Source organism: Homo sapiens, chromosome 16 (genome assembly GCF_000001405.40).
Source record: "Homo sapiens chromosome 16, GRCh38.p14 Primary Assembly".
Lineage (NCBI taxonomy): Eukaryota > Metazoa > Chordata > Mammalia > Primates > Hominidae > Homo > Homo sapiens.
Window position 1 is genome coordinate 18,528,821 of NC_000016.10, and position 25,897 is coordinate 18,554,717.

At 44.8% G+C, this 25,897-nt stretch overlaps 1 protein-coding gene across 3 annotated transcripts in view, besides 1 other annotated feature; it reads right to left on the reverse strand.

Moving 5' to 3' along the window:
* The window catches only part of NOMO2 (NODAL modulator 2), a 62,186-nt gene that overhangs the window by 28,894 nt on the left and 7,395 nt on the right, over positions 1-25,897 (reverse strand). For all 3 annotated transcript variants that reach the window (NM_001004060.2, NM_173614.4, XM_017023156.3), the window contains exons 4-15: positions 22,619-22,719; positions 20,701-20,807; positions 18,408-18,480; positions 14,797-14,949; positions 13,774-13,911; positions 13,352-13,441; positions 10,039-10,144; positions 9,706-9,856; positions 4,185-4,359; positions 2,646-2,787; positions 2,217-2,348; positions 681-817 (exon numbers count right to left, since the gene is read on the reverse strand). In NM_001004060.2, coding sequence (NP_001004060.1) covers positions 681-817; positions 2,217-2,348; positions 2,646-2,787; positions 4,185-4,359; positions 9,706-9,856; positions 10,039-10,144; positions 13,352-13,441; positions 13,774-13,911; positions 14,797-14,949; positions 18,408-18,480; positions 20,701-20,807; positions 22,619-22,719 — 1,505 coding nt within the window. The remainder of the gene's footprint in view (positions 1-680; positions 818-2,216; positions 2,349-2,645; positions 2,788-4,184; positions 4,360-9,705; positions 9,857-10,038; positions 10,145-13,351; positions 13,442-13,773; positions 13,912-14,796; positions 14,950-18,407; positions 18,481-20,700; positions 20,808-22,618; positions 22,720-25,897) is intronic.
* Positions 6,671-7,172: an enhancer, noted in NCBI's record as "H3K4me1 hESC enhancer chr16:18546813-18547314 (GRCh37/hg19 assembly coordinates)". NCBI's record gives its function as "activates a minimal SCP1, AML or CMV promoter by ChIP-STARR-seq in primed H9 embryonic stem cells {active_cell/tissue: H9 hESC(primed)}" and the evidence as "EXISTENCE:reporter gene assay evidence [ECO:0000049][PMID:30033119]".

The window sequence follows — 25,897 nt, forward strand, 5'->3', positions numbered from 1 at the left end:
AGCTGAGCATGGCGGCACGCACCTCTAGTCCCAGCTACTCGGGGGGCTGAAGCAGGAGAATCGCTTGAACTCGGGAGGCGGAGGTTTCAGTGAGCCGAGATTGCGCCACTGCACTCCAGCCTGGGCAACAGAGCAAGACTCCATCTCAAAAAAAAAAAAAAAAAAAAAATACATATATATATATATATATATATATATATATATATATATATATATATATATCAGAGAAACTCACTTGGCAGTACAGAGCGGTGTACACCAAGGACACTTTGATACCTAAGAGGGTTCACTTAAGCCCTGCCATAACCCTGAGAAGTAGGTATTAAGATCTCAATTTTCGGTGAAAACTGAGGCTGAGAAGCAGTAAATGAATTTACCCGAAGCTATTATTACTAATAATATAAAGCCAGTGTGCTCTGCACTGTACCAAAGGTCACCCCGAATCACCAGTCAGATTTAGTGTAGGGCCAGGACAAGGAAACCTCCTAAATACAGGGGTCCTTCCACTGAGAGAGTATAAATGCTTCCTGATTATGCGTTGCGTAACAGGTGGGCGAGTGGAGAGGCAGAAAAGGAAATCTGACTTGCCTACGTTTACAATATTCCTGGGATGTTAGTCTTTCTTGACATCCACAAGGCGAGCGCTTTTCCAAATAAGAGACTCCATAAGCCGTACATACCAGAGTGATGGCGTGAGACAGGGAACATCTCAGCATGTAGCCCGTCTGCCTGAACTCAACTGCAGACACGTCATCCTCCAGCACTTCCACCTCCAGGCTCTTGTTCTTCCAGCACCAATCCTCATGCATGATGCTTACTGCAAAAGCAAACACCAAAAACGGATACATGGGCGTGGAGCACACCACCTCCCTGCACGCCACCAGAAACAATGATCATGAATTAACTAATTTTAAAAAGCAGGTGTGTATGTAGACATAAAGATAGAAATATACACATACATATATTTATAACTAGCAGTATTTGGAATAAATTACTGCTAAAGAAAACCTGGAGTCGAGCGTGGTGGCTCATGCCTATAATCCCAGCACTCTGGGAGGCTGACGGCAGTTGGATGGCTTGAAGCCAGGAGTTCAAGACCAGTCTGACCAACATAGCAAAACCCCATCTCTACTAAAAATACAAAAGTGATCCAGGCATGGTGGTGCATGCCTGTAATCCCAGCTACTCGGGAAGCTGAGGCAAGAGAATCTCCTGCACCCAGAAGGCGGAGAGGTTGCAGTGAGCCAAGGTCGCGCCACCACACTCCGGCCTGGGTGACAGAGCGAGGCTAAATTTCAAAAAAAAAGAAAGAAAAACTGGAACCAATTTCCATTACATCAAGAAAGAAATCTAATGGGGCCTGTAAGATCAGGCTGCAAGTAAGGTATTCAGGGATCCACAAACTTTTTCTGTAACTCTTTTCAGTTTTGCAGGCCACATGCTTTGTCAGCCTCAACCACTCGACTTGGCCACTGTTACACACGAGCAGCCATAGAGAATCCATAAACAAATGGGCAAGGCTGTATTCTAAGGAAACTACGCTTATAAAAGGCAGTTTTTGTAGTCTGCCAAGCCCTGCCATAACAGAAAATATTAATATAATTCCAGAAAAAGCAGTCTGTTTTATGAGCTATCCACTGCCAGCAGCCCCAAGCTGATTTCTGAAAAAGCAGAAATACAGGCAAGAAGTGGCTTCTTAAGAAGGGCAAGGAAAAGGGAAGTAACATTTGTGGGCACCAGCTACTTAGCTGGCTCTCTGCACAACGGGCTTTATAAACTTTACTTCTTTTAGTCTTATATTCTGCAGAAAGGTTCCATTACGTCTATTTTACAGATGGGAAAACTGAGTTTCAGGGAGGTCAAGTACCTTGCCATGGCCAGTACTCAGCACCAGTACTGCTAAGTTAGTAGAACACATCAGTGGAACTATTTCACACTCCTTTCTCTGGGCTTTAGAAATAAAATGCCATACGTCGGGGCACCCTCCCTTAACAGAAGCCGCCAGTGGGCTGTGCAGACAAGGTGGCGGTCAGCTCAGGGCCTGGACTCCTCCATGCTTGTCCAACGCTAAATAATGCAGTCAAGGTCACGAGGCAAAGACGACTTAAAACAAGGAAAGGTACATGGTCGTGATACAATTTGAGACCTGAGTTTTAGAAAGTTTACAAAGACAAGAAGTGTGTGAGGGCCACAGGATGTTGCATTCCAATTCTTACTTTTGTATTTTCCAGGGAGCACGTTGTCAAAGGTGAAAGTCATGGCGTTGACCTTGCCGGAGAGCTGGAGGCTCCGCTTCTCACCCTGGCGGCTCAGGGACTGTAGAGTCACCAGCAAGTCACCACAGGTGTCTGCAGGGAAAAGAAGGGAGGGCTCCATGTGACCCCTTATAAGGCTTCAGCACAGGTTCGAATCCTAACCCTATGTAATAGCTTCTTGCTACTGCTGAGCTCCTAAGAGGCAGTGGCCGGAGGCAGACGGAGTGCTTCTTTCAAGCTAACATGCACCCACTTGACTCCAAGAAGCCTCCCTCGCACGCAGGTGATCAGTAGCAAACAACAAAGGCAAAAGGAAAAGTTTCCCAAATCCCACTCCTACTGGCTGACTTCTTTGAAACTATGTGTTCTTACTTTCCAGTGATATCTTACCCAAACAAGAGACTTTCCCAGAAACTGATGCCAAGAACTGTACAAAGGCCACATCCATCACGGGCCTGTCGGTCACAGTAAGAGGAAATGTCTGGGGTTTCAACGTCAGCCCTGCTCTGGTTTCTGCCTCAGGAACCATCACCTGCGGAAACGTGGATGGAACGTTAGAGGCTGCATTCGGGGAGATCTTCCCCCTGACCTACAGGGCGCTAGAACATTCATCTGGGACTAAGGCTAAAGAGATTTTGAAGGCCAAAGGTTCGTTTCCAGGCCAATTTTACAATCACAACAAATCCACGAATAACTTGTGTGAAGTAAGCACAGTTCTACCCAGATGAAAAATTAGCCTCAACAGACCGATGTGTATGAACAAAAGTCTATCTGGCCTAATTCCCCACAGGCCCGCAACGCGGACACGCCTCACTTACATACTAGAAACCATACTACATCCCAGTCACTTTTCCCGGCTTCGGATCACTTGTAGCATAAGCTCTGAACCTGTTAACACTATGTGGATGACACTTTGGTGGAATTAAGTCATTTTCTTCCTCCTATTGTTCTGCGTGCCTTTCATGGGCTAAGAAGAGGAACAGGTGAAGGTAGCAGCGGTCAACTCTTTCATCCCTAGTAAAGACGACACTGCCCTTCCTTGGAGAAGTCCATCATGCTTCCGAAAGGGCTTCCAAAGACTTGTCAATGTGGACATCTTCGCAAGAAGCCAGCTACCATCTAATAAAGGCAGCTGTCAACCCACACACCACGCTGTTCTGTGGAAGCAGGGAGAACGCAATCTCCTACCCTGTTTCCCACAGAGGGAGGGACCCCACTTTGCCCTAGAGGACAGCAGAGTCTAACAGGGAACCTTCTCGGCCCTCTCCCTTTGTGTTATTTGCTCTTCCACAGGGAGGAAGGGCAGCTGCTGATTTGATGGGTGACAGCCCACGGAAACAGTCTCTCCCCAAGGGCAGGGCCACTGCACTGAAAGGCATGGTGGGCTGACCTCTGCTCTGTCCTGTCTCTTGCTTGCTTGGGCCAGCTGTGGCTTGGGCCTTCACCATGGTGAGGAGACCACAGGCCAGACCGTCTCCCCGTTCTCGGCCTGCTTGAATGGATAAGTCGCGTGGTCCCTGCCTAGCCATCTTGAAGTCAAGGCAAAGCAGGAAATGGGAAGCTCCATTTTGGCCTGGGGTCCCAGAAGCCACGCACTATGGCCATTTTTGAGCGGCCATTAGTAGAGTTCATTTTTGGTGTCCTCTTGGACTCATCGACATTCTACAGCAGCCAGAAGCCTGAAGGTAGAGGAGTGACTGGCAGCCTGATACTAATAAACATCAAGACTGGAAAAAAGAGAGGCAGATGGCATTATTTTTTAGCTGGATGCCTATCTGACTCTCCTCTACTGGTGCAGGATTGTAAAGACTTAAAAACAAGAAGTTGGAAACTGGAATGCTCCTTCTCTAACCCCATTCGACCTAATAACCCTTCTAAAAATCACTGCTTTTTCTCAAAACATTTTAAATTTAAAACAATGCATCGCACCTGCACTTTGTAAGTCCCTGGTTTTGCTTTAAAACAAAATGATCCATGAGCATCTGTCTCCACGGTGACCAAAGACTTGTCCTTGTCTTGAGATGACAGGACAACTTTGTATTTATTCATCTGCTTGACGGTGTCCGGGAAGCGAATGATTGATATCCGACCACAGACACTGAACCTGCAAAGAGAAGACCATTCATTCCAGCACGAGGACTCAATTATAACAGGAAAGGCTCTTATCGACCAAAAAAGATGCAGCCCTCTCCCAGCCCTTGTTCCTGAGAATAGTCTAATCTTAATGAAGAGACAGAATGCAGTCCAGATGATTCTGGTTTTAAAAAGCAACCTTCATTCTGGTTTTAAAAAGCAACCTTCAGAAGCAAGACTGGGCATCTTTCTACAGAACAGGGGCCCGTAGTGGGGCTGTTTGTGTGTTCCGGGTGACATGTGGCAATCCCCCACTGCAGAGGCAATTTTAAGAAAATCTGCAGATAATAAAAACGTTTCAGGTAATTGGATCGTTGACAGCGGAGCGGCCTTGGACTGAGAATGTGGGCTAGCCCTTAAAAGCAAGAGCTCTAAGCTGCCTAAGAAACTGTGGCATTATCAGGCCATCAAATAAGTCAGGATTATCAAAGACGTCTTCCTTGCTTGTGATTATATATAATACATGGATGAAAGCAAACTGGGAGATTGGAACAGAAAAGGTAATTAAGTTAAAAAATGCAAAGCTAAAATTGAACTCCTTGGGAGGTAGGAGCCACAAATGTAACTTATAACTGAAAAGCCCTATTAAGGTAATGATTCAGATTTGAGATTCTAAATAAGGAGTAAGGTGTTGCAAGGCATCCCTCGAATAACACACGAGAGGCCCCCCTACAACGACCATCATCCTTGGAGTGCTGGTCTTCATTTCTGAAGCAGCTGGTGTATTAAAGTGTAATAGTACATCCTAGCTGGGGGTCACAGTTGTCTTTTCAACTGTTCATTTTAAAGAATCTTCAAGAATCATTTTAGATAAAAATTAGTTACTTTTGACATAAAGATAATCAAGAATGTTGGATTCTGACAATTAGGGGTACATTAAATGTTGGAACCACCACTCCGCCTCAAATAAAAAAACAGTGGAAAACACAAGGAAATGGTGGAAGATTGTGTATGTGAAATCTAGGAATCATGAAAAACACAGCCATTTCTTCAGAGTGAAGGGACTGCCCAGCCATATGAGCTCACTATCTCCAGCATGGGTCAGCAAACTACCACCCAAGGACCCCCCTCCCATTTGTGTATGAACTGCAAGCCGAGAAAAAGAATTTTACACTCTTAAGTGGTTAAAGTTAAAAAAAAAAAATCAAAAGAAAGATAATATTTCACATGTAAAAATTACATGAAATGCAAACTGTGGTGTCCAAAAATGTAGTTGTGTTGCGCTCTGCCCATTCATTTACAAATGTCTATCTCAGCTGTTGTCCTAGAGACCGTATGGCTCACGCAGCCTAAAATAGTTATTCTCTGGCTCTCCACAGAGAAAGTGTCCCAGTCCCTGACCTAGCATATGCATTTTGGTTCTCACATTCCCCTACTGTGAACTTTCAGAATAAAAGGATGGGAAGCGAACACTGACACAATCATTCCCAAGGACCTGTCATATTCTCTTGATTTGTGTACCTGTCAGAGGACACATCACCTTGTCTATTTCCTATCAAATCTCTTTGCCTCCTTAAGTTGTAAATATTTGAACCATAAGATCTGTTTTAGCCCACATTCTTATTAAAAAGAAGTGCCTATTTTCCCTAAACCTCAAATCTATACTGGCTTAGTTTGGAAAAATAAACCAAAAGGGTGGTAGAAAAAGGTTCCGTTATACTGAAGCCCTTAAAAATTGATTTGTATCAATAAATTCTTTCAACAGGGTTTAAATACATATATGGACAGAAACAGGTAATATTGGTGGATATTGAGAGAAATCTATTTTCACAGTCATTTGGACAGAAGCCAAAGAGTTTGTTTTTACAATAAATTGAGTAATTTTTTTATTTTACTTTAAAGGAAGACTAGGCACCATGGCTCAGCCTGTAATCCCAGCACTTTGGGAAGCCGAGGCGGGTGGGTCACTTGAGGTCAGGAGTTCGAGACCAGCCTAGCCAACACGGCAAAACCACATCTCTACTAAAAAATATAAAAATTAGCCTGTAATCCCAGCTACTCAGGAGGCTGGGGCAGGAGAATCACTTGAACCCGAGAGGCGGAGGCTGCAGTGAGCCGAGATGGCGCCACTGTACTCCAGCCTGGGCAACGGAGTAAGACCCTGTCTCAAAAAAAAATAAAAAGGAAAAGAAATAGTAAGAAGTATCAGTGTGCTAAAAAGGCAAATGTACTACGTCGGCCAATAAAAAAAAGAGATTTTCCAAAAATGTTCAACAAATGCTATTTTTCTTTCTTTGACCCAAATACTCTACTTTAAAGGAGAAAATAAATATATTTCCTCCATCTCTGTGAACAGCGCCTCCTCCATCTACCCAGTGGCTCAAATAAGAAACCTGTAACCTCAACAGCACAGGCCTGTGGGTGTGTTCTCCATGTGACCTACCAAATCCATCTACTCCTCCCTCCCTCGCCTGCCAGCCGCCTGGGCCCGGCCACTACCATATCTCCTCCAGACAACCACCACTGCCTCATATCTGGCCCCTCCATTCACACCATGGCTTTCCTCCAATCCATTCTCCACACAGCAGCCAGGAAGAAAAACAAACTTTTTAAAGTACCATGATCCCTATCACTCCCTTGCCAACTGATAACTCTTTTTTTTTTCTGAGACGGAATCTCACCCTGTCGGCCAGGCTGGAGTGCAATGGTGCAATCTCAGCTCACTGCAACCCCTGCCTCTCGGATTCAAGCGATTCTCCTGCCTCAGCCTCCTGAGTTGCTGGGATTACAGGAACGCATCACCATGCCCCGCCAACCTTTTGTATCTTTAGTACAGACCGGGTTTCACCATGCTGGCCAGGCTGCGCTTGAACTCCTGACCTCATGATCCGCCCACCTCAGCCTCCCAAAGTGCTGAGATCATAGGCGTGAGCCACCATGCCCGGCCAACCAACAGACAACTCCTAACGGGTTTCCACTGCATTAGGGAGCAAAGCCCAATCCCAAAGCAAGGCTACAAGGCCCCAGAGCTCCCTGACCTCACCCACCTCCTCCAGCTGCGCAGACTGCCTTTCAGGTCCTTCCTATCCTATGCAGGCCTCTGAGCATGCTGCTTCTCTACTAGGGAAGATCTTTCTTTAGCTAACTTTTAGTCTTTACTAAGGTCTCTGCAACCCAGAGAGCCTTGCAGAGCTCCCACTCTAAATTAGCTCTTCTTGCAGCACCCTGATCTCTTCCCTGCACAACACTTGCCATAATTTAGCAGCATAAATGTATTTGTCTTTTTTGTCTTTTTTTAAAATCTTGTTATTTTATTTTTTAATTTTTATCTCTTTATTTATTTTTAGACCAGGTTATGAAACTAGCTAATTTTTGCATTTTTGGTAGAGATGTTGTTTTCCCAAGTTGCCCAGGCTGGTCTCAAACTCCTGGGCTCAAGCGATCCACCCGCCTCTGCCTCCCAAAGTGCTGGGATGGATTACAGGTGTGAGGCATTAAGCCTGGCCACAGATGTATTTGTCTTCAGTCTGTCTCCCTGGAAGGGTGAAAGCCCCATCTCTGGAACACTAGTTTGATTAATTATTAGGTACGAAGCATTTTTCAGTGCCTCATCTAGAGTAATTGCACAAAGTGTTTATGGAAGGTGGGAAAGACTTAAATCCAAGAATTACTTTCTGAGGGTAATTTGCTTCCCTGTCTTCCATTCACCACTGGACTCCTTGACCTCGACCTCCATCTGTCTACAGAAGAGTCACTGTGGCCTCCTCAGTGATCAAGCCAGGGGACTGTGTTCACCAGGGCCCAGCTCCCTGCACCTCCCTGTTGGGCCCTACCTCCTACCCCAAACTTACTTTCTTAGCTCCTATGACCTCACGCTCCCTAGGTCCCCCCTGGGCCACCTGGCACTCTGTTTTTGGCCTACTGTTCTTCTAATTCTACTTGCACATACATATTTGAGGTCCTGGCTGCCACCTGCGGCCAAATCTTCAGGATTTACCATCCATCCAAGTACCTATTGAAGAGCTCCACCTAGTGGTCCTACAGACCAATGTGGCCAAATCTGAACCCTCATCACCTAACTGGCTTCTCTTTCTGTCCCCAGCCATCACACCTCTCAAGCTGGGCACCCTAAATATCTCACCAGTCTGTCCCTGACTTCCCTACAAGGCAAGCCCTTGTCGTCTCTGCTTTCAGACCTCCTGTGCCCAAGTCCTGTCCCCTTCAAAGCCACTCTACTCCATGCCACTGTTTTCAGAATGCCCTATTGAAAACAATGATCAAAGCTTGTTATATTAATGCTCAAAACCACTCATGGCCCGTTGGCCCCAGTGGGAGAAAGCCCCTACGCCCTGGTGGGGTGTGAGGAGGTGCTATGGGGTTGGCCTCATCATCACCTTCACCTGCCAGTATATTCTGCTCCAGTAGCACCCAGCTTTACACCCGCAGCCACCTCATGCTGCTGTGAGACTGCCTGACTTTGCTCATGCCGCGCTTCTCCCAAGCAGACCCTGCAGTCTCCTTCTAAGCTACTGTTTTGTGAGCACCTGTTATGTCTAAAGCTGTTCTGCAGGTTACATACAGGTGGATCTGGGATCTGACTCCAAAGCCCAAGTTCTTGGCACTACACAATCTTGCTTCAGATGATGGTAAAACCACATGAATTCAACCACAAGATGTCCCTGCCTGTACTTATAGTATAATGAGTAACTACAAGCAGGAAGAACTACACCAATGACCTGAAGCATCTTCCAATAAGCTTTCTCAACCAACAATACCATCTTCCAAAAATCCTCAAAGATTAAGCAAAGAGGGGTCCTGTGAAAGATCGTGAAAGTCAGACATGAAAGATTTTTTAATTTCACAAGCCCATTTTAATTTGAAGCAAGGGACTTTTCATTAAGCATCCGACATGTCAGTACCTTCAGTTTGTAAGATTTAGAACTAATCTTTCTTGGCCGGGTGCAGTGTCTCACACCTATAATCCCAGCACTTTGGGAGGCCAAAGCAGGCAGACAGCCTGAGGTTAGGAGTTTTGAGACTAGCCTGGACAACATATAGTGAAACCCTGTCTCTACTAAAAAATACAAAAATTAGCTGGGTGTGGTGGGGCACGCCTATAGTCCCAGCTACTTGGGAAGCTGAGGCAGGAGAATCACTTGAACCTGGGAGGCAGAGGTTGCAGTGAGTCGAGATGGCACCACTGCACTACAGCCTGGGCAACAGGGCAAGACTCTGTCTCTCAAAAAAAAAAAAAAAAAAGTACTAATCTTTCTTAAGTTCTTAAGCTCGGCAAAGACACACAGATCACAGGTCATTTGGTTCTACACTGGCTGCCAGCATATTTACTGGTGCTTCCAAATCCACACGATAAGCTTACCCTGTTGCAACAATGTCAGCCAGCTGAGGTGTGTTCGGTGCAATTTTGATGGTGACCGTTTCAAAGTAGAGGTGCTCTTTCTGAGCATGGATGGTGTATGTCCCTGTGGTTATGTTCTCAAGGCGGAATGAGCCATCAGCTTTTGTTTTAACTGTAAAACAAAAACACACAAACAGAAGATAAGCCAAAAATAACAGTGTATCCTTACATGTACACCAGAATACTTGGACCAAAAGCTGCCATGTTCTCATATAGTCATCAGTTCCTCTCCATTTCTCTCTGTGATCCAAAAAGAGCGCTGGCCATCAGCCTGGGGCTGCTGTGTCAGCCCACCTTTGATTTGGTTATTCAGGGTGACTACTGCTTCTGGAACACCATCTCCTTCGGGTCCGTTCAAGACCCTCCCGGTGACGGAGAATCCCATGACGTGGAACACGGGCTAGAAAACAAAGAACAAGAAGAAGGTGCTCGAAGGTGCTCCTGTGCCAGAGCCACAAAGCCTCCTTCTGCTGCGCCGGCCACCACCTACCATGTCTGCTCCTGCCGCCCACCTCCCAACACTCAGTGCCCCGGTCCTGTGTGCCAGCCGGGCTCCCTCTCACTTTACCCACATCTGTCTTCTCTGTTGTGTTCCCAACACACTGCTGAGTGTCAAACAACAGAAAAGAAAAGTCTAGAGACTTACTTCCCTCGTTAAAAGGTCACTGACTCAAGCTTCTAGAAGCCCCCCACCCTTACCCCTGTGCCATCTCCTCCCCTCCAGATGCCCCCATTTTGGTGAACCACGTCTTCCTCCAGTCTCCCATGCACACCCCGGCATCACTTTGGATGCCCCGCCCCGCTCCTCCAGCATCGATCAGTCCTGTGGATTCCACCTCTGCAAGGTCTCACGTGTCCCCTCCTGTCTTTCCACCACGACCTGAACACAGGTCCTTATGAAATCCACCTAGGCCAGGCGCAGTGGTTCACGCCTGTAATCCCAGCACTTTGGGAGGCCGAGGCAGGCAGATCACTTGAGGTCAGCAGTCCAAGACCAGCCTGACCAACATGGTGAAGCCCTGTCTCCACTAAAAATACAAAAATTAGCCAGGTGTGGTGGCAGGCGCCTGTAATCCCAGCTACTCGGGAGGCTGAGGCAGGAGAATCGCTTCAACTCGGGATGCGGAGGTTGCAGTGAGCCAAGACAGTGCCAGCCTGTGTGACGCAGCAAGACTCTGTCTCAAAGAAAAAAAAAGAAATCCACCTAGACCACCCTCCTCCACCACCATCACTGGCTCACACGTGGTCCCATGCTCCATGTGTCTGTGTCTGTGTCTGTGTCTGTGCCCCACTTGCCTGTGAGCAGCACACCTGTGCTTTCTCTGCAGTTACTGAGTTCCAGCCCTGATCTGTGTATCCCCAAGGTCACCACTGCTAACCCATTTTAGTATCTTCATCAAACTTACCAGTATCTGAAATGTCCTCGTTCGATTTCTTAGTTGTCTCCCTCCCACTAGCATGTTACCTCATGGAGACAGGGACTTTTTCTGTCTTAGTCACCTGGTACACAGCAGGCACTCAATAACTGACTCCTGAATGAATGAATGTGTGCACGCACGTGTGCAACAGCATTTGAGATGAAGCTTTAAATAATTAAATGACTTCCTTTTTATGCAGGGAGCCCTTCTTTTTTATTTTTTTATTTTTTTTTTCAGCAAATGGTTTCTTAGTGATGGTCTCACATGACAGGTAGTCCTTCCTGATCTTTCCAAAAAGACATGTTTCATTCCATGCATTACCTACTTATTAATTCACATATGTACTCAACAAATATTTTTGCTGGGCACCTACTATGTGCCAGGCACTAAATCACATGTTAGGAAAACAGTAAAGAATAAGACACGGTACCTGACCTCAGGGAACTTACAGGGCCCCATTCCCTGAAATTCCATTCATCATTTTCAAAATATGTATTTGGCTGTAATCTGGGAATAGCTGTCTCTGCTCACCTGCCCCCATCCTTCTCTGCAAGCTACGAGAAGCAAAGTAAAGGCTTCATCTTCTTACCCTTCTCTTTCCCCTCCAGTGTACAGCAGAACAGTCAAACACTCCACTGAATCTTAAAATGCAGAGTCTGCACCCCACTGTGCATATGACCTAAAAGTCCGCTTCTGCCAGTTTAAGCGATTTTAACACAGTACTTTCAAATGTAATTATTAAAAGAAAATGATTAAAATATAATTGCTTCGATAACTCTAACATTGGGTGGTCCACTTAGGAGAGGCTGTTATTTTCTTTTGGGATTTGTTCTAGCTAGCCAATTTTCTACAGTAACCATTTTCTACTTCTGTAATTAAAGGAGACGTAAGTGAGATGAAAAATACATTTACCATTTATGTGAGGGTCTAGGCAGTTTATCAAGCCATGTATCACACTGCCCATTCCTACCATCACGGTCCAAGCTCTGCCAGTTCTCACCTGGTTTACGGCCATGGCATCCCAACTGGTCTCCCACTTCCACCCTGACACCCTGCAAACTCTCCTCAATGCAGCTGCCAGAAGGATCACGCCACTCCTCTGCTAGGAACCTTCCAGTGGCACCAATTCTCACCCAGAGTTATAGGCAAAGTGGCCCACCAAGCCCTGCACAATCTGCCCTGTCACCTCCCTGACCCTCTTTCCGCCTCCTCCTTCCTTGCTCATTCCCTCCACTCCAGCCACCCTGGCCTCCTTGGGATGCCCCAAACCCTTCAGCACACTCCTGCCTCAGGACCTTTGCACGTGCCGTTCCCTCAGTCTTACACACTCTTCCTGCAGGAGTGAAGTATGGTTCTCTTGTTCTTTCCCTTCAGGTTGTTGATCAAATGTCACCTTCACAGGGAGGACTTCCCAAAAACACCCTATGTACAACTGCAACCCCTGTCTCCACCCTGATACTGTACGACCTCCTTTCTTCCTTTATTTTTCTAGAGAACACTTATCACCTTCTACTGTACTTTCTAACTTATACATCTATACATGTATTGACCCTTCCTGTCATTAGAACATGAGGTCTAGCCAGGTGCGATGGCTCACACCTGTAATCCCAACACTTTGGGAAGCCGAGGCAGGCAGATCACTTGAACCCAGGAGTTAGAGAACAGCCTGGGCAACATGGTGAAACCCCATCTCTAACAAAAATACAAAAATTAGCTGGGCATGGTGGCACGTGCCTGTGGTCCCAGCTACTCAACAGGCTGAGGTGGGAGGATCACTTGAGCCCTGGAGGCAATGGCTGCAGTGAGATGAGATCGTACCACTGCACTCCAGCTTGAGCCACACAGTGAGACCCTATCTTAAAAAAAAAAAAAAAAAAAAAAAATGAGGTCCACAGGGACAAGAATTTTTGCCTCTTTTGGTCACTGCTATATCCCCAGTCCTGGAATGGTGCCTGAAATGCATGTCACTGGCAATCAATAAATATATTTCATTGAATGAGTAGATTTAACTAGGAATCCAGCTCTCTACGATAAGGACATCATGGGTAAGAATATAATACCAGATGGCATTTTTTCCAACAGCCCTTCCAGATAAAATAATTGATTTTTTTTTAAAACATGTTTGCAATACCTGTGCCTAGGGATGGGAACTCAAACACCTGTCCCTCCAGAAGACAGAAAAGCCTTACCTCGATTTTCAAGCTGTCATGCTCCACTGTGAAGTCAAGTCTGGAAGGCGCCACATCAAAGGTAATCCTCTCCCCTCGATAGAACGGAATCTGGAAGGAAGAGTCTCTTAATCACTAAGAACCACTAACATGATCAATCAGCAATATTAATAATCGATCTAGCAGCCCACAAATGACAAGGGGTTCAGACAGACCAAGAGAAACATTCATCATAACTGTTGCAGATTCGAAAAGAGGAAGCCTTGCCCTTTTTGTAGCTATTACGAAGGGGTGAGTGTCTCATCTTAAGTAAGTTACTGCTTAACAGCGTGTTCAGAGAACTGCAGGCCAACCATCTTTTCCTTTAACACCCAAACAGCATTGGCTTTTACTGTGTCATGAGAGTCCCAGACATAAACAGAACGGAAATCTGCTTCACTCACCACAGTGTAGCCCCCACTTGGCAAGGAATAGAAAGAGAACGAGCCATCTTCTCTGGAGACCGTGTAGCACAAATACACCAGACTCTCGTCTTGGGGCTGGAACCCAGGCACTGGTGAGACATTGCAGCCCAGGACATCCTATGCCAGGGGGTAAAAAAGACAAGACTTCCTTTTCCATTTACATGTTCTGAATACCATCAATTAGCCACATTATAGGAAAATTTTTTTAAGTTTCATGTCAATATATGTATTTCTGAAATCTAAGACACATTAATACAGATAAAAGGAACAAAAATCTTGACATTCAAGTTGCAAAGTTAAAAACTGGCACAGTCTTCCCGGGAAAGATGACATGACTGTCCTTCCTTATCATGGGTCACCATTCTCCAAATAAGGAAACGGAAGCTCAGGAAGGTAATGTGACCGGCCCAGGGTCGCATAGCTAGGAAGAGGAATTTGTTTAAACCTGAGATTTGTTTAAACCCAGGTCTGATTTCAAAGCCTGTGTACTTTCCATCACATACCACTGCCTCCCAGTGTAGATGTGCAATGTCTTGTGAGTCAACAGAGACACATGATATTCTTGAATTTTTTTTTTTTTTTTTTTGAGAGTCTCACTCTGTCACCCAGGCTGGAGTGCAGTGGCGTGATCTTGGCTCACTGCAACCTCCACCTCCTGGGTTCAAGCGATTCTACTGCCTCAGCCTCCCACGCAGCTGGGACTACAGGCACGTGCCAACATGCCCGGCTAATGTTTTTGTATTTTTAGTAGAGATGGGGTTTCATAATGTTGGCCAGGCTGGTCTAAAACTCCTGACCTCAAGTGATCCACCCACCTTGGCCTCCCAAAGTGCTGGGATTACAGGCATGAGCTACCACACCCGGCCTGAGACAGACGATATTCTTAAGTGTTAAAATGATAAATCAACTCAGACCTGCATTTTTTAAAACAGTATGTTCTGGTCTATAATCCCCCACCCTCCTACCCTTCACACCATCTCTTTTGTTCTTTTCTTTGCTTACCTCTTTAGTTACTAAAGAAGAAAAGAGAAGAAACTTCACCCCTTTCATGGGCTCCCCATCACTTCGGACAGAGCCAGACACATTGTAGCCAGCAACTATGAGGGGACTGGCCGCATTGGCATTGGAGTTGGTTACACGCACTGTGGTGCTTGCCTGTAACAGAAAAAGATTTTAACCTGTAAAAAAATAAACACTTGCAAAGTGCCTAACAACATGAGGACACGCTGAAGCTAAAATATTAACTGGGAAACGTAATCTATAAAATTGCTTATTCAGTATGATCACTTCTTTTCTTGAGACGGAGTCTCAGTATGTCACACAGGCTTGAGTGCAATGGTGCAACCTCGGCTCACTGCAACCTCTGCCTCCTGGGTTCAAGAGATTCTCCTGCCTCAGCCTCCCAAGTAGCGGGGATTACAAGCGCTCGCCACCACGCCCGGCTAATTTTTGTATTTTTAGTAGAGACAGGGTTTCACCGTGTTGGCCAGGCTGGTCTCGAACTCCTGACCTCAGGTGATCCGCCTGCCTCAGCCTCCCAAAGTGCTGGGATTACAGGTGTGAGCCACCGTGCCTGGCTTATCATTATTTTTTAATGCCCAAAATGAAGTGAAAGGAAATGTGGCAAAATGTAAACAATAATGATTTTGTCTATATGGTGCTATTTTACTTGTATACTTTTCCAGCTTCCAAAATTTGTTTCCACTGCTTTATATTCCTCTATATGTTCCAATTTTTTTAATGAGCATATTTTGCCTTTTTTTCTATTTTTAATGATATACAGTGTTAACTGAAGATTAGCCTAAAGCTGCCTCCTTACATATTTTAAGTTTGGCCTAAAGGTTTCTCTGTACGTGTTGCCAAGTCTCACCCAATTCAAGCAGCCACCCTTCAACTACTCACAGGCAGCCAACTGTTCAAACCATGTGCAAATAAGACAAACGTCCAGCTGTAACCAATCCAACTGTTTCTGTACCTCACTTCCACTTTCTGTCCGTCACTTTCTTTTTCTGTCCATAAACCCTTTCCAATCACGCAACAGTGCCACAGTCACTGTAAACCTATTCTGGCTCAGGGGGCTGCCCAATTGACAAATTGTTCTATGCTCAATTAAACTCTGTTTAATTTGCCTTAAGTTGTTCTTTTCACAATATGTGTATATTTTTAAACATTTTTGTTAAGGTACAATAAACACAGAGAAAAGTGTACAGATTCTAAGCACGCAGCACAGGGCTTGTCACAAATTGGGCACTGGTTACCCAACAGAAGAGCACCAGCAAGCCAGAAGTGCCCTCACACTTGCTTCCGGTCACTAACACCCCAGGAGGATAAACATTATCCTGACTTCTAACAACATGCTTTACTTGAAAATCCCAATCTCATATTAATAAACTCAGATTCTTCTATGCAGACAATTAACATACAATGTAAACCTCAAAATCTCTTCTATTTATAAATGTGTAAGCTCTTTCATTTCGAATAAATTTTTTTTTTTTTTTTGAGATGGAGTCTCACTCTGTCACCCAAGCTGAAGTGCAGTGGTGCAATCTTGGCTCACTGCTACCTCCCCCTCCCAGGTTCAAGCGATTCTCCTGCCTCAGCCTCCCGAGTAGCTGGGATTACAGGTGTATGCCACCATTCCTGGCTAATTTTTTTCTATTTTTAGTAGAGATGCGGTTTCACCATGTTGGCCAGGTTGGTCTCGAACTCCTGACCTCAAGTGATCCACCCACCTCAGCCTCCCAAAATGCTGGAATTACAGCATGAGCAACTGCACCCAGCCTTGAATAAAATATTTTTAAATGTTGCTGCAGAAGAGAAAAACCCCCAAAACCAAAAGTCATAAACAGTAAGAAGAGACATCTAGGTGTGAAACTATCATCAATTATAAGTGCGTAAAACCTACAGAGTAAAAATAATAATAAAACAGATAGAGTAGAAGCTGAAATACTGATTCCAATGCTTCTTTAGCAAAAATGAGATACAGCTTCAATACTAACACAGAAGCTAACATGTCAAGATGTCCCTTAAGTCTTATTTCAATTTGGTCTTTCACGGCTATTACAGAACCTCACCTACTAGGTGGAGTTCCTTTTTTGATCTTTGACTATAAACTATTTCAGTCAAACAAAAAAAGATATGCTAAAGAACACTTACATACCTTCTAACCAGCTAAAGAAATTTAAAAAAATACAATTCAAGATGCTGGCGTACCCCGAAGTCCCCCTCCTCCCTCTTTCTCTAGAAGTCAGTATCATTTTGAACAGCATCTGCTATTCCCATACATGTCTTTATAATTTTTCTACATAAGACTGTATCCTCCCTGTCCCTACTAAAAATACAAAAATTAACTGGGCATGGTGGCAGGCACCTGTAACCCCAGCTACTCAGGAGGCTGAGGCAGGAGAATCGCTTGAACCCAAGAGGCGGAGGTTGCAATGAGCCGAGATCGCCCCATTGCACTCCAGCCTGGGCAACAAGAGCAAGACTTCATCTCAAAAAAAAAAGACTGTATCCTTAGCTAGGGGCAGTGGCACATGCCTGCAGTTCCAGATCCTTGGGAGGCCAAGGTGAAGGATCGCTTAAGGCCAGGAACCAGAGGCTGCAATGAGCCATGAATATGTCACTGTACTCTAGCCTGGGCAACAGAGCAAGACCCTGTTGCAAAAAAAAAAAAAAAAAAAAAAGACTGTATCTGGCCGAGTGCACTGGTTTATACCTGTAATCCCACCACTTTTTTGAGAGCCCGAGGCTGGTGGATCATTTGAGGCTAGGAGTTCGAGACCAGCCTGGCCAACATGGCAAAATCCCATATATACTAAAAATACAAAAATTAGCTGGGCGTGGTGGCACATCCCTGTAATTCAGCTGCTCAGGAGACTGAAGCCGGAGACTCGCTTGGACACAGAAGGCCGAGGTTGCAATAAGCCAAGATCATGCCACTGCACTCCAGTCTTGGCAACAGAGCGAGACTCCGTCTTTAAAAAAAAAAAAAAAAAAGACTGTATCCATAAATGATTATCACAAGTATTTAAAATCATATTTCCTTCAACTCTGTTTTTAAATGTAGTTACATTGATATATGTAGCTCTGGTTCATTCATTACTGCTGACATACAGCAGCCTATTGTATGATGGAACCCCAATCCATTCTTCTCTTAAAAGGCATTTAGGTTGTTTACAATATTTTGCTATTACAAACAAAGCTGCAATAAACATTCTCATACATTCTCCTTGGTCACGCGTACCACAGTTTCTAGAATGTTTAGTATATTTACAGATTTCTGTTTCAGGCTGAAAAAAGAACAACAAATAAATCTCGTCAGGGCCTTCTGTTGTTGATTTAGTTTAAAATAGCTATAGTTAATAAAACAGATCTATTTCACAGCAGGAAGACAACACTGTCACCTAAAACTGAAACTAACACAAGCAACATCTGCTACAGTGAGGAGTTACACCTTATAAATAACTACCAAACTAAACAACAGCACCATTGGTTCTTCATCTAGTCCTGGAGGAACCATAAATTCTTTTCATATCCTAAATTGAAAAGCCCTACATTTGTCCCAAGACCAGCATATTATTGGCATGGCTATAGACGTAGCTGTCACTCACCTCTTTCAACGCCCAGGTTGGATGAGTTGCGAGGATTTCATAATCTCCAGGCAGAACTTTAAAAAATGCAAACCTAAGACATAAAAAATAACCATTTAACTTTCTCCAAACAACCCAAGTATTTCTAATTCTATGACTAATGTTGGCAGCACAAGAAAACAATGTTGGAATTATCGCAAACTTCCATTAGCTTGTTAAATGAGCATGAATGAAATTCAATCCTTCACTGTACAAATCTGCATAAAAGAGCGCTTATTGAGCACTTACTGTGTGTCAAGAGGGGTGCTCCATGTGCTGATCGGAAAGAGGAGTGCTTACGTCTCCCTTAATCTCAAGGATTTCTGGCATAAAACCAATCCTTGTAGCACAGCAGGGACCAGTCACAGAACATTCGACTGTGTTTGACAGAGGTGACAGGCATGAACTGACAAGGAGAAGGGGACAGAAGTGTCCAAGGAAACACATGGGAAGGGAGAAGTGGGGTGAAAAAGAACAGAACAGATGCACAGGCTGAGGGGGACGCTGACCCAAGATGATGCAAATGACACAGGGCAGGGTAAACTATGACAAGCTTTGAATCCCAGAAAAAAGGCTTTAGAGAAACACAGATAAGTCATTCTGGGTTTTTGCACAAAGCAACTGAGATAAGAAACCAGCAGCTGATGAAAATTACTCTACTAGCCATAGACAGACTAACACCAGAGTGAGCCGAGCTAAAGCTGGAAATGCTGCTGCCAGTATACTAACATGTTTATCCCTTCAAATTTGTAAGGCAACTGACAAATGAGAAGGCTAAGTCCGGTGAAATGAACTAGAAAACGCATTTGATTTCTTCTTCTGTGGTATTTTATTGTATCAAATCTTGCCTGCAATAACTGGATAGGGCTTGGAAATCACATTACTACAAGTATTGGTAAGATTGAGCTTCTATTTCATTTTCATAATAGCCCAGTGCTACATGTTTCATTGTTTCAGTTAGTGCAGATGAAAGGTATTCAGAAGGCTCAAGACACTATTTTTTTCTAGTAAGGTCAACACCAAATTACTAGCCCAGAAAAAAAATTACAGCTCCATATTCCTGCTACACACCAGGGCTGGAGAGGCACCAGTCAAGCAGAAGTAAATGTTATTTCAAAAATGAAAACTAGTTTCAACAATAATAACTTTAAAATTGAATAACTTACTGACAGACTCATTATAAACTTCTATTTTGCAATTTACTCAGTTTGTATATTAACGGAGTTAGTAATGATTTGAACGCTTTCGGAATTATCAGTTTGAACTATTCTGGTATTAATCTTGGCATATCTGTTAACATTTACAACTCAACTATATACATCCATTAAATAAATGCTTTAAATCTGACTCAGCAAGGTCAGCTAGGCATCTGCTCCAACTACAAAGCAGTTTTGATATAATAATGATAATGATTTTTTCTAATCATAACTGAGCTAACCTGTTTGAGCTAATATGCCAGGCAGCTTGAAGTAATAATATTAATTTCATCTTTCCAGTACCTTAGGAGATAGGTTCCACAATTATCTTCATTTACAAAAGAGGAAACTGAGGCACAGAGGGGTTAAGGAACTTGCCCTAGGTCAACCAGCCAGCAAATGGGGGAGCTGGGATTCAAGCCCGGGCTGGCAGGCTCCAGAGCCAGGCTGAGCTGCTAAATGAAGACCCACTAAGCCCCAGGCCTTGAAGCAGGTGCTTTATGGGTATTAACTCTTTTTTTGTTTGTTTCAGACAGGGTCTTGCTCTGCTGCCGAGGCTGGAGCACAGTGGCACATGATCACGGCTCACCGCAGCCTCAACCTTCCAGGCTCAAGCAATCCTCCCGCCTCAGCCTCCCGAGTAGCTGCGACCACAGAAGCATGCCACCACACCCAGCTAATTTTCTTCCCCCGTGGGACTCTACTTGATATAATTTTTTAAATTATTTGTGGAGATTGAGTCTCCCTATGTTGTCCAGGCTGGTCTCGAACTCCTGAACTCAAGTGATCCTCCCATCCTGGCCTCCCAAAGTGCTGGCATTATAGGCGCAAGCCAATATGCCTGGCCAGTATGAACTCATATTTAATCATCTCATCAATGCTAGGCAAGATGGGTCAAATGGATTCCATTTCACATGTGGGGAACTCAGCACTCTGACGGGCATGAACTCACCCAAAGTTAAGAGGCTGAATCAGGATCTGAACCCAGAACTCCCTGAATCCAAACTCCCAAACCCAGCTCCATGACCCCTGTCAGAGCCCGGCTCTAAGGCAACACTAAGAGACAGGACGCTACTCACTTTCCGCCAGGCTGTGTAACTGTGGACTGGATCTTTGCTTCGGTCCCAGTGTTTCTCAGAGACACCTGAACTCCCGCAGGACCCAGGGGCTGCCCTTTGCTGAGGACCTGCCATGGAGAAGAAAGTTAGGGCCCACCCAGCAAAGCACCCTCCTCTCAAAGCACTGGCAGTCCTGCTTACAACTCCCAGGTGGAGCCCAGGAACCCTCTTTGGGTCAAGAATCCCATTGAAAAGATGCTATAAATCATGGATATGTTTCCTGGGGATGAGGTAGGAGAGGGAACAGTAACAGTAAAATAAGACTCTATTTCAATGAATCTAAGACATCATCAGTTATAGATTCACCATTATTGGTCTGGGTGGGTGTGGTGGTTCACGCCTGTAATCCCAGCACTTTGGGAGGCTGAGGCAGGCAGACCACTTGAGGTCAGGAGTTTGAGACCAGCCTGGCCAACATGGTGAAACCCTGTCTCTACTAAAAATACAAAAATTAGCTGGGCGTCATGGCACATGCTTGTAATCCCAGCTACTCCTGAGGCTGAGGCAGGAGAATCACTTGAACCCAGGAGGCGGAGGTTGCAGTAAGCTGCAATCGCGCCACTGCACTCCAGCCTGGGCGACAGAGGGAGACTCCATCTTAAAAAAAAAAAAAAAAAAAAAAAAAAAAAGTAAATGTACATAAAAATAAAAATATAAAAATTAGCTGGGTCAGGTGGCACACGCCTGTAATCCCAGCTACTGGGGAGGCTGAGGCAGGAGAATTGCTCGAACCCAGGAGGTGGAGGTTGTGGTGAGAGAGACTGCGCTACTGCACTCCAGCTTAGGCCACAGAGCGAGACTCTGTCTCAAAAAAATAAATAAATAAAAATAAAAATAAAAAAAGATTCACCATTATTTTGCAAACCATCGATAAAGAAAAAACTACCCAAGATCCCCATCTCTAACAAGAAGCCCACACATACAGCTGGGATGGAAGGGCCTCCCCGTCACCGCAAAGGTAGAGGAGAAAGAAGTCCATCATGAAGAGAAGGACAGGAAGGAAGGAAGCACATCTCAACCTCAGGCACAGGGCGGGTGGAAGAGAAATGACTCTCCCCTGAGAATCTGAATCGCGGGAGCTGGGCACACACCCGTTAGGACTCTAAATTCACACCACCGTGGCGGTCCAAAAAAATCTCAGAACTTAAATAATAGGAATCCTCCTAGGTAAGTGTCGGAAGCAGATGCACGCTCTCTCTGGGAGAAGCTGACTTCAATTCACCCACAGGGACAGCAAGATGCCACAAGGCTTAGAGAGTGCGTCCTTCCAATTCGGCATCCCTGTAAAAGGCCATCCCTGACATAAACGCTAACAGCGGCTGGGTGCACAGCGTACACCTGTAATCCCAGCACTATGGGAGGTGGAGGCAGGCGGATCACCTGAGGTCAGGAGTTTGAGACCAGCCTGGCCAACACAGCAAAAGCCCATCTCTACTGAAAATACAAAAATTAGCCAGGCATGGTGGCACACACTTGTAATCCTAGCTACTCGGGAGGGTGAAGGAGCGGGAGGGTGAGGCAGGAGAATCACTTGAACCTGGGAGGTGGAGGCTGCAGTGAGTCAAGATTGCACCACTGCACTCCAGCCTGGGCAATAGAGCAAGACCCTGTCTCAAAATAAAAAATAAAAAAATAAAAACACCAACAGCCTATGCTCTGGGAGCAGAGGGGATGACCAGCAACCTCAATCTCACTCCTAAATACACCTGCTGCGTTCTACACGGATGAAGTACAGAGTTCACAGGCTCACTTGCCACTTATCCATGGGTCCCTTGTGGGATCAAAGTCCCCAGGTTAAAATATCCTGCATTTTTTTAAAAAAGGATTTAGTATACATTATAGAGTGAACAGGAAAAATAATCAAGTTCCAAAGACAAACCTTGCCATTCACAGAGAACCCAGTGAAGACAAAGTTGATGTCCCCACCCTTTGTGCAGATGTCACTGACTCCATCCACATGGAGCTCCACGGTCGTCGGCTCTGAGGAACGAAGCAGGGGAGGAAACCGGGGCACAAGACACAAAGGCAAGCTTAGTTTTGGGGTACAGTGAACCTAAGTAGAACGTATTTTTATTATTCAGGTTTCATTTTACTTTTGAACACTTAATACACTCGTGTGTTTCCAAATCCAAAGGTACAAAAAAGTATTCTGGGAAAAGTCTCCCTCTCACCCCTATCCCCCTAGCCTCCTGGTTTCCTGCCCCAGAGGGAATTCGTGTTTAGAGTATAAAATAATTTTACAACGCCTTTCAGCTAAGTTATATCTCAGAGTTCCAGGGAAAATTCAGTGAGCACCAAATAATTTTATTTCCTGAATGCTCATCACCGACCAGGCACTGAGCTGAGTGCCTTTAATCCTCACAATTATCTTAAGAGACAGGCAGTAATAGCTGCAATTTACTGAGGGGTAAATTAAGGCACAGAAAGGTTAAAGGAGCTCCCAAGATCACAGAGCTTCTGAGTGACAGAGCCCCAGTTCAACCCTAAAAGTCTGGCTCTGGATCTGTTCTCTGACCAAGGACATGAGCTCAGCCATGTTAAACCAGGAACACAAACTCCAGGGCCACAGGGGCCTCATGGGTTCGAAGTGAGCGGAGCATCCTCAGGGGGACTGTGGCAAATTGAAAGGAGACAACCGCCACTCAAGTCTGCCAACCACTACCATGCTTTGCCAGAGCTTCCAACTTCTCCGAAAAACTGGAAATCTGGATTTTATATACCATCTCTTGATTTTTCAATATCAGCAATTAACTCCATTTTTTAACTGAAGAGTTCATCATAATAGGGGTTAAGGTTGAGTTTTTGAAAGGTTAGGAAGAATATGGAGTAATGAGTAGAGAAAAAAATGGAAAACCATGAGATGAGATTTTCAGTTAAGATGAATTACACACGTGCTTGCACGCGTACATGCACACACACACACACACACACACACACAAAGACTCCAATAAAAAATGGGCAAAAGACTTGAACAGGAATCTTACAAAAATAGCTAGCCCATGGCAAACAAACATAAACATACGAAAAAGTGTGCAACCTCATTGGCCATCAGTGGAATGTAAATCAAGGCCACAGTGAGATAATACCACACCCCCACCAGAAGGGCTAAAATTAAAAAAAACTGACGATACCAAGTGTAGGTTAGGATGTGGAGCAATGGAAACCCTTGTACACTGCTGGGAGAACACAAACTGGTGCATCCACTTTGGATGTTTGCAAACACCTAAAGCTGAGCATGTATCAGCTCTATGGCTCAGCGACTTTACTCCTGTGATACACTCAGCAAAAATGCAGACACATGTATCAAAATATACATACAAGAATGTTCACAGGAGCACTGCTCTTAGTGGCCAAAATCGGTAAGCAACTCAAATGGCCATCAACAGTAGAAGAGATCACTGATACAAAATATGAATATAAAATATAAATATAGGCCAGGCGTGGTGGCTCTTGCCTATAATCCCCACACTTTGGGAGGCCAAAGCGGGCAGATCACTTGAGGTCAGGAGTTCGAGACCAGCCTGGGTCAACATGATGAAACCCCATCTCTACTAAAAATACAAAAATTAGCTGGGTGTGGTGGTGCACAACTGTAATCTCATCTACTGAGGAAGCTGAGGCACAAGAATTGCTTGAACCCGGGCCGAAGTTGCAGTGAACTGAGATCACACTCCAGCCTGGGCAACAGAGCGAGACTCAGTCTCAAAAAAAAGAAAAAAATAAAATAAAATATAAATATTTTATAAAATATAAATAATTTTATATTTATGCATCAGAATTCTCAACAGCAAAGAGAATGAACTAAAGCTACAAATGATAGAGATAAAGTTCATAATGTTGAGTGAAAGAAACTGGATATTAAAAAGTTCCCTGCATGATAGCATTTGTATAAAGTTCAAAACAGACCAAATGGATCTCTAATTTGTAGAAGGTCAGGGTGGTGGTCACCTGGAGGGTGGGGCGGGATGGCTAATGAGCACCCAGGATGGGGACTTCTGGGGTGCTGGTGAAGTGCTATCTTATCATCTGGATGGTGGATACATGGGTGTGTTCACTTAGTGAAAATTCATCCAAGGCACTTTTCTGAAAGTATAATTCAATTAAAAAGCTTATCAACAGCACCAGTTGGGGGTAGCGTGGGGGGTGGCAAACACAACACTCCTCCAGGCCACCAATCTGGACTTCTGCTTTGGCCATGAGCAGGGCTGCATTCCTCTCCAGCTTTCTGGAACGTACCAGCCAGGCACCCCCCACCCTACCCCTGACTATAAACTGATAAAAGAGCTGCTCTCACAGAGCCAAATTAGCTGTCAGCTGCCTGAGCCTCATTTTAGCCTTGGCGATGGCAGGTGCTAAATTCTTCCTTGTCTAATGCACGAGCAAGCCTGATATCAACAACGGTGATCCCTACTCCTCTCCCCAAGCCATGGACTGGGGTCACCCACACCTGCTCTACTGAAACATCAAGAGTCTCTCCTCTTCAAAAATGTAAACTACATCAAAACAGACCCTCTCTTCTGATCTCAACCCCATCCCCAACTCCCCAGCTATGCTTGAAGGCAGTTAGTTCTATGAGGAAAGTTTGGAGCTTTTGTTGGGATGTGTGCAGAAGGGCTGTTTCTGAATACTGAGTACTTGCTAATTACGTGCCAGCCCCTCTGAACACTCAGTATTGGTTTATTAATCCTCCAAGTACCCAGTGGGGCAGGGACTATATCTACCCTTGCTCGACAGTGAGGAGCCAGGCTGACACGGGGGAAGTAACTTGCCCAAAGTTATTTAACTGGTAAGGTATAAGGCTGACAGTCTTCTCATCTCATGGGACATAAATCTGGATTTTTATGACAAATCTCACAATCTTTAAATGTTTCAATTAATTCCATAAAAAATTAAAAAACTGAGAGGGCTAAAAAAGAAGCCATCCTGGGACGGGAACCAAGTCCCCACTCTTGATTTCTATACTGTTCCACGGCCACGTAATGAGTGAAACTGCAAGGGAAGAGTTTCCAGAAAGGTAGAAGAAAAGATGTCTATTTTTCAAAGGTGACAGAAAGTCTTAAGGTAGATTAAGGTAAATCCGAACTAAACCAGAGTGATGGGGGCAAGGAGGGGAGGAATACAAACCCTCTTCCATACTGGAAATGATCCTTAATATTTT